The sequence below is a fragment of the Homo sapiens genome, chromosome 17 (assembly GCF_000001405.40).
Source record: "Homo sapiens chromosome 17, GRCh38.p14 Primary Assembly".
Classification (NCBI taxonomy): Eukaryota; Metazoa; Chordata; class Mammalia; order Primates; family Hominidae; genus Homo; species Homo sapiens.
Window position 1 is genome coordinate 16,033,908 of NC_000017.11, and position 14,048 is coordinate 16,047,955.

The following is a 14,048-nucleotide window of genomic DNA, read 5'->3' on the forward strand; positions in this document are numbered from 1 at the left end:
TGATTCTCCCACCTCTGACCTCAAGTGATCTGCCCGCCTCAGCCTCCCAAAATGCTGGGATAACAGGCATGAGCCACCGCGCCCAGCTAGATGATGGCTTTTTAAACTAGTCTTCTCATTTCTAATTTTGATTTCTTAGTATTTCCCTAAGAACTTTTTCTAAGAATACCAATATGAAAGGTGAAGTACTCTTAGAAGTGGCATGGGTACATTCAGGTACAGTTCTCAAAAGAACTAAAACCACCTTATTTGCTTTGCAAATAGTCAATGTTCGCTACCAGTGTAATACAGAAGTGAGGAGAATGGTTGAGATTATTTTTTCATAGCTCTTCCTTTGTTTATGGTAATCAGGCTTTGCATTCTAAAAATGTTTCAGGTTATATGTGCATTCAGTTTCTATTCTGGGTGTGTGCATTGGTTGACTCCTGTAATACTAACACTTTGTGAGGCCAAGGCAGGAGGAATGAGTTCAGGAGTTCGAGACCAGCCTGGGCAACGTAGTGAGACCTTGTCCCTACAAAAAATAAAAATTAAAATGAAAATGAAAAAAATTAGCCAGGCATGGTCGTGCACGCCTGTAGTCCCAGCTACTTGGGTCGCTCAGGTGAGAGGATCACCTGAGCCTCAGAGGTCGAGGCTGCAGTGAGCCATGATCATGCCATTGCATTCCAGCCTGGGTGACAGAACAAGACCCCTCAAAAAAATACTTCTATTCGGGAAAGTGGAACATATTAATGATACAGAAATGGGAATATAGGTTTCCAAATTAGAAGAGTTGCTGAATTTTGAAGAACTAATAACCAAGACATTGATATTATTGCTCTGTCTCATTTTCTAAGTTAAAGCAGAATCCTTACCTGTTGAAGAGGGCCTGTCTTCCCAGGCCCACCCTGGCGTCTGCCTATGGTAATCCCCTTCTGAATGTACAGAGGAGACTGAAGAGGGCCGTTCCGTTCCTAAGTAGCCTTGCCCAGGTATAGGAGACTTAGATTTCCTGCTGTTTGACTTGCTGATCAGCTTTGGTTTGCAAACTCCTCCTGAAAGTGAAATTCAAGTTAAAGTATTAATATATTAAGTTCTCAAAAATTACCAAAATGCTAATGATTATATATTGCTAAATGAAAAAAAAGCAGAATGGTAACATGAAGAATCCAGATCCTGGTACTCAATGAAATAAAATACTACAGGCATACCTCAGAGATACTGAGGGTTTAGTAAGTCACAATTATTTTGCTGGTGGATGGTCTTGCCTCCATGTTGATGGCTGCTGACTAATCTGCATGGCGGTTGCCAAAGGCTGGGATGGCTGTGGCAATTTCTTTTCCTTTCATGAAAGACTTATTTGTAGCATGCAATGATAGCATTTTAGCCACAGTAGAACTTTCAAAATTGGAGTTGATCCCTCAAACCCTTCTTTATTAACTGGGTTTATGTAATGTAGTATTCTAAATCCTTTGTTGTCATTTCAGCCATGTTCACAGCATCTTCAGGGGCAGATTCAATCTCAAGAAACCACTTTCTTTGCTCATCCCTAAGAAGCAACTCCTCATCCATTTCAAGTTTGATCATGAGATTGCAGCAATTCAGTTACATCTTCAGGCTCCACTACTAGTTCTCTTGTTCTTTTTTTTTTTTTTTTTTTTTTAAGGCAGGGTCTCACCTCTGCTGCCCAGGCTGCACTGCAGTGGCACAATCACGGCTTACCAGCTCACTAAAGCCTCAACTTCTTGGGCTCAAGCAATCCTCCCACCTCAGACCCAAGTAGCTGGGACCACAGGTACACACCACCACACCCGGCTACTTTTTAAAATTTTTGTAGAGATGGGGTCTCACCATGTTGCCCAGGTTGGTCTCAAACTCCTGGGTTCAAGTGATTCTACTGCCTCAGCCACCCAAAGTGCTGGGATTACAGGCATGAGTCATCATACCCGGCCTCTCTTGCTATTTCTCCTACACCTGCAGTGACTCCCTCCACTGACGTCTTGATCCCCTCCCAAGTTATCCATGGGAGCTGGAATCATCTTTTTCCAAACTCCTGTTAATGTTGATATTCTTACCTCCTCCCATGAATTACAAATGTCGTTAATAGCATCTAAAATGGTGAATCCTTTTCAGAAGGTTTTCAGTTTACTTTGCTCAGATCCGTCAGAGGAATCACTATGGCAGCTATTGCCTTATGAAATGTATTTCTTAAATAATAAGACTTGAAAGTAGAAATTATTCCTTGATCCATGGGCTTCAGAATGGATGTTGTGTTAGCAGGCATGAAAACAACATTCATCTCCTTGAACCTTTCCATCAGAGCTCTTGGGTGACTAAGTGGATTGTTAATGAGCAGTATTGAAAATTATTTTTTCTAAGCAGTAGGTCTGAACAGTGGGCTTAAAATATTCAGCAAGCCATTCTGTAAACACATGCTGTCATCTAGGCTTTGTTCCATTTCTAGAGCACAGGCGAGTAGACCAAGCATAATTCTTAAGTGGCCTAGGATTTTCAGAATGGTAAAGGAGCACTGGCTTCAACTTAAAAGTCACCACCTGCATTAGCCCCTAACAAGAGAGTCAGCCTGTCTTTTGAAGTTTTGGACTCTTCCAGTAGAAGGCTGTTTTGTCTACATGGAAGATCTGTTGTTTAATGCAGTCACCTTTATCAAAGATCTTAGCTAGGTCTTCTGAGTAACTTGCTGCAACATCTTCATCAGCACTTTCTCCCTCACCTTGCACTTTTATGTTACAGAGACGGCTTCTTCAACCTCTGAATGGCCTCTGCTAGCTTCAGCCTTCTCATCTGTGGCTTCCTCGCCTCTCTGAGCCTTCAGAGAATTGAAGAGTTAGGGCTTGGATTAGGATTAGGTTTTGGCTTAAGGGAATGTTGTGGCTGGTTTGGTCTTCTATCCAGACCACTAAAATCTTCTGTGTGTCACGAAACACTGTTTTGCTTTATTACCATTTGTGTGTTCACTGGAATAGCACTTTCAATTTCCTTCAAAAACTTTTCCTTTGCATTCACAATTTGGCTAACTGTTTGGCACATGAGGTCTAGCTTTCAGCCTGTCTTGGCTTTCAACATGCCTTTCTCACTAAGCTTAATCATTTCTAACTTTTCATTTCAAGTGACAGACTTAGTGATTCTTCTTTTCACTTGAACACTTAGAAGCCATTGCAGGGTTAATTGGCCGAATTTGAATATTGTTGTGTGTCAGGGAATAAGGGAGCCAGAGGAGGAGAGAGACAGGGAACAACCAGTCAGTGGAGGAGTCAGGACACACACCACCTTTATGGGTTGTTTGCCATCTTATACAGGTGCTCCTCATGGTGCCCCCAAACAATTACAATAGTAATATCAAAGGTCACTGATCACCATCACAGAGATAATAATCATGAACAAGTTTGAAATATTGTGAGAATTACCAAAATATGACACAGACACAAAGGAGAGCCCATGCTATTAGAAAAATAATGCTGATAGACTTGCTTGACACAGGGTTGCCATAAACCTTCAGTTAAAAAAAAAAGCACAATAAAACGAGGTATGCTTGCATTTAAAAGAAAGCCAGGATTTCACTTGTAACAATCAAAACAAAAAACAAGGTTCGTCCTCCTGCCATTAAAATGTGGTAATTAAGGAACTGAAATTTCTGGGACATCAAGCCTTCTTTACTGGCCTCAGAGTACAGAAACTACTAAAGAAAGAAGGCAGGGTGACAAAAATCATACTTCACTAATGACCAACCCCCCTTTCCCAACTGGAATTAATACACCACACAAAGAAATAATATGTAAAGGAAAAACTGCAGAACAAAGCTTCTTCATGCTACTACAGGACTTGAGCAGAGGCTCAGCAAGTTTTGGTAGCCCTTTTGATTTTTCCAGACTGTGTAGCTGATGAACTCAGCAGAATTTCACAGAAGTGAGACACCTCTGACTGTGCTCTAAAAGAAAACATCAAAAAGAGCTCAGAAGAGATCAGAGCCCAGGTCATCAGCAAATTTTTTCCTCAGCCCCAGCAAAACAATTTCACACTGCCCCAAATTCCTATACAACCAGTACAATTGTAATTGACTAAGTCACCAGTCTTATAACCTTAAAACACACACACTTAAAGCCAATAAAAATTGGAAGGTAAGAACAGAAAGGGGAAGGTCTTAAAGTTAACATGTATAGTTTTTTTTTTAAGACCTCTAATCTCTTTAATCTTTTTCTTAACCATAGTGAGATAGATCTTTTGCTTGAAGATAACAGGAAAATAAATCTAAACTAAAACAGAAATACTGCTGAACTTCAGGTAATTTTGAAAAGCACAAGAGATATTCTCAAAATATTAAGAAAAAGGTTGTAAGATTAAAGCTTAGGATTATTATGGTTTTTTTGTGTGCTTGTTTTTAACAGAATGTATAAAATCTCATTCTAGCAACTCTTATCTGGCTATCCAGAGACATGTCTGAAACAATGCTTATCAGATACAAGCATTAGCATTCCGGATGATGTGATCTGAAGAACTGTTTCTTTTTCTTCCCTTTTTCCTACTCTTTTTTTTTTTCCTTTTTTGAGACAGGGTCTCACTTTGTCACCTGGGCTGGAGTGCAGTGGTGCAATTGCAGCTCACTGCAACCTCTGCCTCCTGGGCTCAAGTGATCTTCCCACCTCGGCCCCCACAAGTAACTGGGACTACAGCGTGAGCCACCACACCCAGCTAATTTTTGTAATTTTTGTAGAGACGGGGTTTTCATCATGTTGCCCAGGCTGGTCTCAAACTCCTGAGCTCAAGTGATCCACCCAACTTACCCTCCCAAAGTGCTATGATTACACCTTTTTTCCTACTCTTTTTTTATGGCTTACGATTATTTTATTTTATTGTGTGTGTCTGTGTATGTATGTATTTTGAGACGGAGTCTCACTCTGTTTCCAGGCTGGAGTGCAGTGGTGTGATCTCAGCTCACAGCAACCTCCGCCTCTCGGGTTCAAGCAATTCTCCTGCCTCAGCCTCCTGAGTACCTGGGATTACAGGCACACGCCATCATGCCCAGCTAATTTTTGTATTTTTAGTAGAGATGGGGTTTCACCATGTTGGCCAGGATGGTCTCGATCTCTTGACCTTGTGATCCGCCCGCCTCCGCCCCCCAAAGTGCTGGGATTACAGGCGTGAACCACCGCACCCGGCTGGCTTATGTTTCTTTTCTACTGAGCCTAATTTTTACAGTTAAATCACTTTTATTCAAAAACATTATATTTGTGTTACAATTACAATGCAGTATGTATAGATGAGGACTAGGTGCAAACAAATAAAAAATGGACATCCCAGGAGGGTGACACTTTGGGTAAAAATTTTCTTCCATTTTATTTCTGTTCATATTATAATGTCTGGGTAGGTTTTCAAAAACCTTTTTTAAGTAACGGAAACCCTAAGAGGTGACTCTGAGCACATAAAGACATAAATGAAATGTCTTAGTGATGCATCAGAATTTGGGAAATAAACTGGCTTTTTTGGGGAAAAGCAGCAGAAAAGCACTAAAATGAAAGCTGTACCTGAATGAGGTGATGGGTCCCCTTCCTCTCTTCGTGTCTCACCACTGGTCACAACTGAGGTGTTGGCAGTACCAGGCACTACTCCCATAGGCTGGGACATGACAACTCCATGATCCTCAACTTTGTCATCAAAGCTTCCCATGAGAGCCTTCCTGATAATGTCTTCCAGCCCAAGATTACTGGCAGGATCAGCAAAAGAATGGCCTCTAGAGCTAACTGAGCCTGAAAGAGAATCAAAAACATTTCCACTTATTTCTGAAAGGCCAATCAGGAAACAAACATGCATTGCCCCATCAGCCCACTGAATACACACAGCACTTGGCAAGTGACCTAGAACAATACCAGGACCCACCACACAGAGACCTTTTTTTTTGGAGACAGAGTCTCTCTCTGTCGCACCCAGGCTGGAGTGCAGTGGCGCGATCTTGGCTCACTGCAACCTCCGCCTCCCAGATTCAAGGGATTCTCCTACCTCAGTCTCCCAAGTAGCTGGGACTACAGGCACCCACCACCACACCAGGCTAATTTTTTGTATTTTTAGGAGATGGGGTTTCACCATATTGGTCAGGCTGATCTCGAATTCCGAACCTCAGGTGATCCGCCCGCCTTGGCCTCCCAAAGTGCTGGGATTACAGGCGTGAGCCACCGCACCCAGCCCAGAGACCATCTTAATCCACAGATAACTCCTTAAGGAAATTTGTTTCCCAAGTGAATCAGTCACCCACACTTCTATTAAAGTTACTCAACAATTTTCTCAGTTCCCTAGTTTTGACAGTGTTCTTTAATAGTTTCATTCTTTTTGTTCATTTATCTTTTCAATAGGTATTTACTGGATCTCAGTTCCTTTCTGTGCTACTGGGTAAACCTTCCTTCACTAAATTATTTATTTATTTTTCCATATTAGAGCAGTCACTCCCCTGGTATACAGTTGGTACTCAGTACATATTTGTTGGACTGACTACTGCTGTGCCAATTTTGTATTGGTAAATAATGTCTTTTCAATCTTACCTGACGTAGTAACTGCTGGCAGATTAAAGATCTCAGTTCCTGGCTGAGCAGCTGCTATATTTAAGCAAACATTCAAGTTAATTAAGATGTGATAATCATATATACCAAACTAAAGTCTCAAAAAATTCCTATAATAAAATTAATCTTTTTATTTTTCATGATCTCAACCTTTATTTCTCACCCATTAAGTGAAGATAAAATGGAAGTATTTTTTTTTTTTGAGACAGGGTCTCACTCTGTTGCCCAGGCTATTTTTAAAGGGAAATCAGGAAATAGGTAAGGTAGGAACATCAAAAGAAGAGCAATAAGCTGTGTGCAGTGGTGCACTCCTAGTCCCCCAGCTACTCAGCAGGCTGAGGCGGTAGGACTGCTTGAGCATAGGAATTTGAGGCCAGCCTGGGCAACACAGTGAGACTCTCCCATCTGTTTACCAAAAATAAATAAATAAATAAAAAAAGAAGCAGTGTAACCCAGAAAAGGGAAAGGAACTTTGCACTGCTGGAGAAAAACAAATAGGAAAATGCTGTTCTCAGAACAGGAACCAAGGCTTTCTGACGAAGAAGAAACCTTGGACTCTGGGATGACCGCCACAAATACCAACAGGTTTGAGGCAGCCTGGGATGTGATCCAGAGGAAAGCCACCACAGTGAATACTATGAAAATGACTGTGTTTCCCTGCATGGCTAACTGGAAACTCAGGATATTTGCTGGAAAAAACAAAAGACTCTGTTGATCCTTTTCATTCCTGCTGACTGTGCAACTTGTAATCTGCAGTTTGAATGATAACAGCATAAGACCTGGGAACCGCCTATAATAAAGCAGTGTGCCAGAAAGGGGAAGAATTTGGGACATAAATTGGTGTTTCCGTCATTCCCAACTTGACGCTAAGAATTTTAAAGAGAAAAAAAGAATGCAGAAAGCAAGTGGGCAGCCAAATGATGTGTCCCAAAGAATGTGAAAGTTCTTTTTTTTTTTTTTTTTTCCTTTGAGATGGTGGTGTTTTATTCTTGTCACCCAGGCTGGAGTGCAATGGCGTGATCTAGGCTCACTGCAACCTCTGCCTCCTGGGTTCAAGCAGTTCTCCTGCCTCAGCCTCCCGAGCAGCTGGGATTATAGGCCCCCCGCCACCATGCCCAGCTAATTTTTGTATTTTTAGTAGAGACGGAGTTTCACCATTTTGGCCAGGCTGGTCTCGAACTCCTGACCTCAGGTGATCTACCCACCTCAGCCTCCTAAAGTGCTGGGATTACAGGCATGGGCCACTGTGCTCAGCCAGAATGTGAAATTAATTAATTTATTAATTAATTTATTTTTAAGACGGAGTCTCACTCTGCCGCCCAGGCTGGAGTGCAGCGGTGCGATCTTGGCTCACTGCAAGCTCTGCCTCCCAGGTTCACGCCACTCTCCTGCCTCAGCCCCCCGAGTGGCTGGGACTACAGGCGCCCGCCACTATGCCTGGCTAATTTTTTACATTTTTAGTAGAGATGGGATTTCACCGTGTTAGCCAGGATGGTCTTGATCTCCTGACCTCGATATGCCCGCCTCGGCCTCCCAAAGTGCTGGGATTACAGGTGTGAGCCACCGTGCCCGGCCAGAATGTGAAATTTCTAATGAGACCACAGAAGGATGGACTCTTACCCAAGGGCTGAGCACATGAGAGGAGGGAAGAGTGCATGTGCCTAGAAACAAACTTGGTTGATTAGGGAGGCTTTAAACTGACAGAGGAGAAAAGTCCTCAGAAGAACTAGAAAACAATGGCCATGGATGACAGTCTTCTTACTTATGGGCCAGGTGACAAGGTAAATAAATTGAGCCTGAAACAGCAGAGCCCTGTTATCATGAAGTGTGTGGAACAGGAGTCATTCATTTGATAGATATTTAATTGAGCAGTTATTTGACTGAATTGTTAAGATTACCTTATTGATCAAAAATGGTCAGATGAAGACAATTTCCTATAAGTTAACCAATGATAATCCTTAGATACTGCACTTGCAGGATAACCCTTCCTTTGCTAATGGAGCTTACAGTGCAGTGTGGTACTTGCTAAGGCCATACAAATTAGAATCACCTGGGTAGCTTAGTAAATTTTCTACATTCCTGGGGCTCCATAATTCAACTATTTAATAAGCAATCCAGGTGACTGGTACCTACTGTTGAGCAAGAATGTGGTAACTGCTCAGAAATTAGCAGAATGGAAGGTAGACATGTGAAAGCCACTGTGGAGGCCAACTTGACAGGAGGAGCTGACTCCCATCAGGAGGCAGAGAGACCAGGATAGTAATGGCCAGAGTAATGGTAACTGTTAACTGTGGTAGGGAAGGAGGAGGAACTTTTTGTATGGGGAGGTAGAACATGGATTCAATTTTAGATATTTAAGGAGCCAGTAAGTTAGTCAAGAAGTAATGAGGTCTGCAAAGATATGTAAGTAGAGCTTAGTAGGAAAAGCTGGGCTACAGATACAAATTTGGGAGTTTTCAGCATACAAGCGACCATTCAACTCCCCAGAGTAGATGAGATGACTCAAATTATAAGACATGAGGAGAAAGGGGCTAAGAAGTGAGCCCTGGGGAAAACTAACAATCAAGGGCCAGGCAAAGCAAGACTGAGCTTCTAAGGAGACAGAAGTGGCCAGAGAAGTAGAGAAGAAACAGGAGAACATGGCATCAGAAAGCCAAGAGAGGAAAGCATTTCAGGAAAGGAAAGTGGTTCACTGTGTCAAAAGCTGCAAAGAGATCCAATAAAGTAAGTTTTAAAGCATTACAGTTTTCAAAAAAATAAAGTCACTGATGTCCTTGGGAACACTGGATTCAGATACAATGAGCTGAAGTGAAGCTGTGTTGGCTGCTGATGGCTTTCATTTAGTTCTACTTCCCAGTGAAGGCTAAATGTGCCATGGTGGGCCCAGGAGCCCACTGGTTCTTTAATATAAATTCTCCTTTCCACCATGAAAAATAGTTCTTGCAATAAAAAAAAAATCCCAGACTCTAAAGCAATTCTGTTAGTACTTCCCTTAAGACATTAATTATCTCCTGTTAAAGTTAGGTACTTGTTTCATCATACAGCTTCAGAGAATAGAGACCATGTGGCATACTAAAACACCCAACATAGTACGCTACTGAAAACATTAGGCAAGAGAGAAAAAACTATAAAGTAGGCTTCTTCAGTTCAAACATGGCATTTCCCTGTCAAAGAGTTTCCCACTTTAAGGGTAAGACAAAGACTACAGAATGAGCAGACCACACAAAGGTGAAATGATTTGCATCTCAGTTCCTGGCTGCTCTGAGATCTCTAGCTCTCCGTGCTCACACAGATTCATCTCTGAGTGCCAAGAGAAATTGAAAACAAGAGTATATTTTTGTTGGTGACACTTGAGGAGCTGTAAATAATAGATTAAACTGTTGAAGACTGGAGACAGAAAATAGTAATAACAATATTTTTTGAAAAGGTGGCCGGATACAGTGGTTCACGCCTGTAATCCCAACACTTTGGGATGCTGAGGTGGGTGGATCACCTGAGGTCAGGAGTTCGAGACCAGCCTGGCCAACATGGATAAACCCCGTCTGTACTAAAAATACAAAATTAGCCGGATATGGTGGCTGGTGCCTGTAATCCCAGCTACTCGGGAGGCTGGCCCAGGAGAAACACTTGAACCCGGGAGGCGGAGGTTGCGGTGAGCCGAGATCGTGCCACTGCACTCCAGCCTGGGCCACAGAGTAAGACTCCATCTCAAAAAAAAAAAAAAAAAAAAGAAAGAAAGAAAGGCTATCTGTAAGCCTGATAACAATTCTGGTCAGCATTCTAAAATATTTGTCTTTTATTTTGTTGCCACCTAAACAGAACCTAGTAATTAAGAGCGAGGACAAGTTCAGAAACAGTGGTGACACTGGCTCATCCTTTTTTCCTTGGTGTTCAACATTTATTAATCACAAGAGTGACACAGATCTAAACAAACATCCACCAGGCAGTTCACAGTGCAAGGCCCCCACTTTCCTTTCTTTTGACAGGATCAGGAGACTAGTAGATGGTAGATCACAGAAATAAAGCAGATCGTCCTTTCCTCAGCTGCCACCACAGTGCTTGGTCCTTCCAAGGAAGCTAAGGCCACGTTGGGATGAGGCCCTCACTTCATCCGGCAACTACCACCACGTCCGGCAGCGCCAGCCCCACACTTGCCCATACCATGTCCTCTGTCTCCGAGCTCGCCTGCATCTACTCAGCCCTCACTCTGCATGACAATGAGGTGACCATCACGGAGGATAAGATCAATGCCCTCGTTAAAGCAGCTGGTGTAAATGTTGAACCTTTTTGGTCCAGCTTGTTTGCAATGGCCCTGGCCAATGTCAACATTGGGAGCCTCATCTACAATGTAGGGGCTGGTGGACCTGCTCCAGCAGCTGGTGCTGCACCAGTGGGATCCTGCCCACTCCACTGCTGCTGCTCCAGCTGAGAAGAAAGTGGAAGCAAACAAAGAAGAATCTGAGGAGTCTGATGATGACATGGGCTTTTGGTTGTTTTGACTAAATTTCTTATAACGTGTTCAATACAAAGCTGAACTTAAGAAAAAAAAAAAAAGAATAAACCAGACTATGGTCTACCCAAAGTCTCTCTATCAAGGGGACTGAGGAAAAGACTGATAAGACTGGGGGGATAGTTAGTACAAGTGAGTGCTGAGAGAACACGAGGAGGTTCTGATTAATACTTGCATATCAACCCAGAGGAAAAAGGTTCTGCCACAGAACATTAGCTAGAATATTTACCAACAATCTGGTTAAGATGCTATGAGTATGGAACTGTTAGAAGCCAGTTGGTCCATCATTAGCAACATGGACTCTGGAGTTGGAATGCCTGGGTTTGAACTGCAGCCTCATTACTTACTAGATATGTAACCTGTGCCAACTCTTAAACCTGAGTCTGTTTCCTCATCTACAAAATGGAGATAATTGTAATATGTAGGGTTGTTGTGAGGATTAAATGAGACTATATCTACACATGCTTAGAATAGAGCCTACCACATAGTACGCTAGATAACCTTTTGCTACCATTATTACTGATTTTATATTTTTATTTTATTAATTTATTATTTTTTGAGACAGAGACTCACTTTGTTGCCCAGGCTGGAATGCAGTGGCACAATCTTGGCTCACTGCAACCTCTGCCTCCCAGGTTCAAATGATTCTCATGCTTCAGCCTCCTGAGTAGCTGGGATTACAGGTGCACGCCACCATGACCAGCTGTTTATATTTTTAGTAGAGACAGGGTTTCACCATCTTGCCCAGGCTGGCCTCAAACTCTTGATCTCAGGTGATCAACCCGTCTTGGCCTTGCAAAGTGCTGGGATTACAGGCGTGAGCCACCACACCCAGACAATTTAAAAAAAATTTTTTTTTTTTTCTTGAGACATCTCACTCTGGCTTAGGCTGCAGTGCAGTGATGCGATCGTAGCTCACTGTAGCCTCAACTTCCCAGGCTCAAGCAATCCTCCCACCTCAGCTTCCCATGTAAATAGGACTACAGGGATGTATACCACCGCACCCAGCTAATTTTTTATATTTTGTAGAGATGGGGTCTCCCTGTGTTGTCCAGGCTAATCTCGAACTCCTGGGCCCAATCAATCCTCCCGCCTTGGCCTCCCAAAGTGTTGAGATTCCAGGCCAATGTTTTATTTTTACACGGTTAGTTTATCAGAGTTGCATATGAATAGTGAATGAATCAACTCAAGTCCACAAAGACACTGGTAGGGTAGAAAAAGTAGCTGGACTGGAGCAAGCACAGACGGACTTGGACTTGTCCTATACTTGGAGCTAGTTACTGTAAAAGTAGAGCGAGGGCAAGGCATGAATTAAAAGTAGCCCAAGACCTTGACATCAACGTTCATACTAAGTACTTAACAGTGCACTTCATAACTTAACAGTGTATAGGCTGCCAACAAAACAGCTAATAGTCTTAGGCTACTTTAAAAATGATGAATTTAGCATAGATCATATTATACTACTCTATTTTGTATTACTCGAAACCTAGTGAAAGGCTAGGTTAAATGTTTTTGGTGGAGAATAACTGAGATGGTAGGGGTACTAAGAATGAGGACATGTGACCCACAGCTGATGAAACTGGGGACACTGATTGAGAGGACTCCTGAAAGACACGTCTTCAAATATCTGAGGAGATGTTATGTGGGGATAGGCCCAAATGGACAAAATGAAGACTGATGGGTAGGGGAGAAAGAAAAGTAAACTATGGAGAGTTAATCCAGTCCTACATAAAGAAAAGTAACCTAGACACAGCATTTCTTCAAAGAGAAACGGCACAGCTTCAGAAAGGAGCGAACTCCTGCCTCCTAATTAGAACTCTTCATGGGCTGGCAGACACTTGAGAAGGAACTCTAGGATCAGATGTGTTGGACAGATGTCCTGTAAAGAGCCTTCAAACTCAAGCATTACAGGAGAGGCAACACTGGAGATATCATTATTAATGCATGTTTTATTTGGGGTTCATGAAAGAAATCCCACTTACCCATATCAGAGTCACCTCCACCAGAGGAGTTCAACTTACGAAAAATCTCCTGCTTCTTTGATTTAACCATGGGTGATGTATTTTCAAGCTTGGTGAAGAATGAAGGCAAGTAGCTTATACTCCCTGGTGAGCGGGCATCATTCCTGTTAGGGCCAAAGTTAAGTATATTACAACCACGTACTCCTAATCCTGGGGACATTCCTATCAATGATAACAACAGTCAGAGAGTACTTAGAAAACTACTGCCTCCTCATCCTGTGTTTGTGGTTACAGCCCTAAGAAACAGTATGTAATCATAAACCACTTAGTACATCATTTGAGGAAAAATGATTTAGCTCTCAAAATGAAATCATAAAATTAGAATTAGAATGGAGATAATCTAGAGCAGAAATTCTTAGGAAGGAATGAAGAAGCAGTAAATGAATATTAATAGGAAAACTCAGAAACAGCTTATGATGCTCTCTCCTTAACAGCACAAACACTGATATATTAATGGTTACCACCTAAACTGGGAACAATTTTACTAGAATTAGTTTTAAGTACACTAAAATTAAAACTAATAGCACGCTTGACTACAAAATAGCAAGAACTCATATCTAAGCAATCAACAGCTGGACTGGAACACAACAGTATAGGAATAAAACTGCCTATTTGTTACAATCATTTCAAGCAACCTAACAAATGAGCTGAGTTTAATATAAAGAGTTTCATATTTTACTGGCAGCTTCCTATACTAACACATTTAAAAAAAAACAAGGTTTCCCTAAAAACTCCAGGCCACCAAGGATCTAGCTAGAGCCAGAGATGAGAACAGAGACTATAGGTTATTGAAAACCTAATCCAATCATGTGGATTCAGTCATCATTCAAACACAAGAACACGTACTCTATGCCAGGAAAGACAATTAAGGTGATAGGAACAGGAATAAGACATGGTCCCTGTCCTCAAAACACTCATAAACGTAGGGGAAAGATGTAAATGTATAATTAAATTGAACATCACTCC

General features: G+C 42.0%; 2 protein-coding genes and 1 pseudogene across 54 annotated transcripts in view, besides 3 other annotated features; 2 read left to right on the forward strand and 1 right to left on the reverse strand.

Moving 5' to 3' along the window:
- TTC19 (tetratricopeptide repeat domain 19) overlaps nt 1-11,108 on the forward strand; it is a 45,192-nt gene extending 34,084 nt beyond the window's left edge. The window contains exon 10 of one of the 2 annotated variants that reach the window (XM_017024802.3): nt 10,538-11,108. In XM_017024802.3, the coding sequence (XP_016880291.2) occupies nt 10,538-10,551 (14 nt within the window). In that variant the 3' untranslated portion in view covers nt 10,552-11,108. The remainder of the gene's footprint in view (nt 1-10,537) is intronic. The other variant, XM_017024801.3, reaches the window with a different exon arrangement.
- Nucleotides 1-14,048, reverse strand: part of NCOR1 (nuclear receptor corepressor 1) — a 186,378-nt gene that overhangs the window by 4,751 nt on the left and 167,579 nt on the right. For 42 of the 52 annotated variants that reach the window (NM_006311.4, XM_011524086.4, NM_001439115.1 and 39 more), the window contains 4 exons: nt 13,044-13,186; nt 6,534-6,587; nt 5,526-5,747; nt 858-1,037 (listed from right to left, as the gene is read on the reverse strand). In NM_006311.4, coding sequence (NP_006302.2) covers nt 858-1,037; nt 5,526-5,747; nt 6,534-6,587; nt 13,044-13,186 — 599 coding nt within the window. The remainder of the gene's footprint in view (nt 1-857; nt 1,038-5,525; nt 5,748-6,533; nt 6,588-13,043; nt 13,187-14,048) is intronic. The other 10 variants (XM_047437134.1, XM_047437130.1, XM_047437139.1 and 7 more) reach the window with 1 other exon arrangement.
- Nucleotides 6,928-7,222: an enhancer, noted in NCBI's record as "tiled region #10193; HepG2 Activating DNase matched - State 5:Enh". NCBI's record gives its function as "activates a minimal TATA promoter and a strong SV40 promoter by Sharpr-MPRA in HepG2 cells {active_cell/tissue: HepG2}" and the evidence as "EXISTENCE:reporter gene assay evidence [ECO:0000049][PMID:27701403]".
- Nucleotides 10,192-10,702: an enhancer, noted in NCBI's record as "OCT4-NANOG-H3K4me1 hESC enhancer chr17:15947413-15947923 (GRCh37/hg19 assembly coordinates)". NCBI's record gives its function as "activates a minimal SCP1, AML or CMV promoter by ChIP-STARR-seq in naive and primed H9 embryonic stem cells {active_cell/tissue: H9 hESC(naive and primed)}" and the evidence as "EXISTENCE:reporter gene assay evidence [ECO:0000049][PMID:30033119]".
- On the forward strand, nt 10,585-11,089 carry RPLP1P11 (ribosomal protein lateral stalk subunit P1 pseudogene 11; annotated as a pseudogene).
- Nucleotides 10,703-11,212: an enhancer, noted in NCBI's record as "OCT4-NANOG-H3K4me1 hESC enhancer chr17:15947924-15948433 (GRCh37/hg19 assembly coordinates)". NCBI's record gives its function as "activates a minimal SCP1, AML or CMV promoter by ChIP-STARR-seq in naive and primed H9 embryonic stem cells {active_cell/tissue: H9 hESC(naive and primed)}" and the evidence as "EXISTENCE:reporter gene assay evidence [ECO:0000049][PMID:30033119]".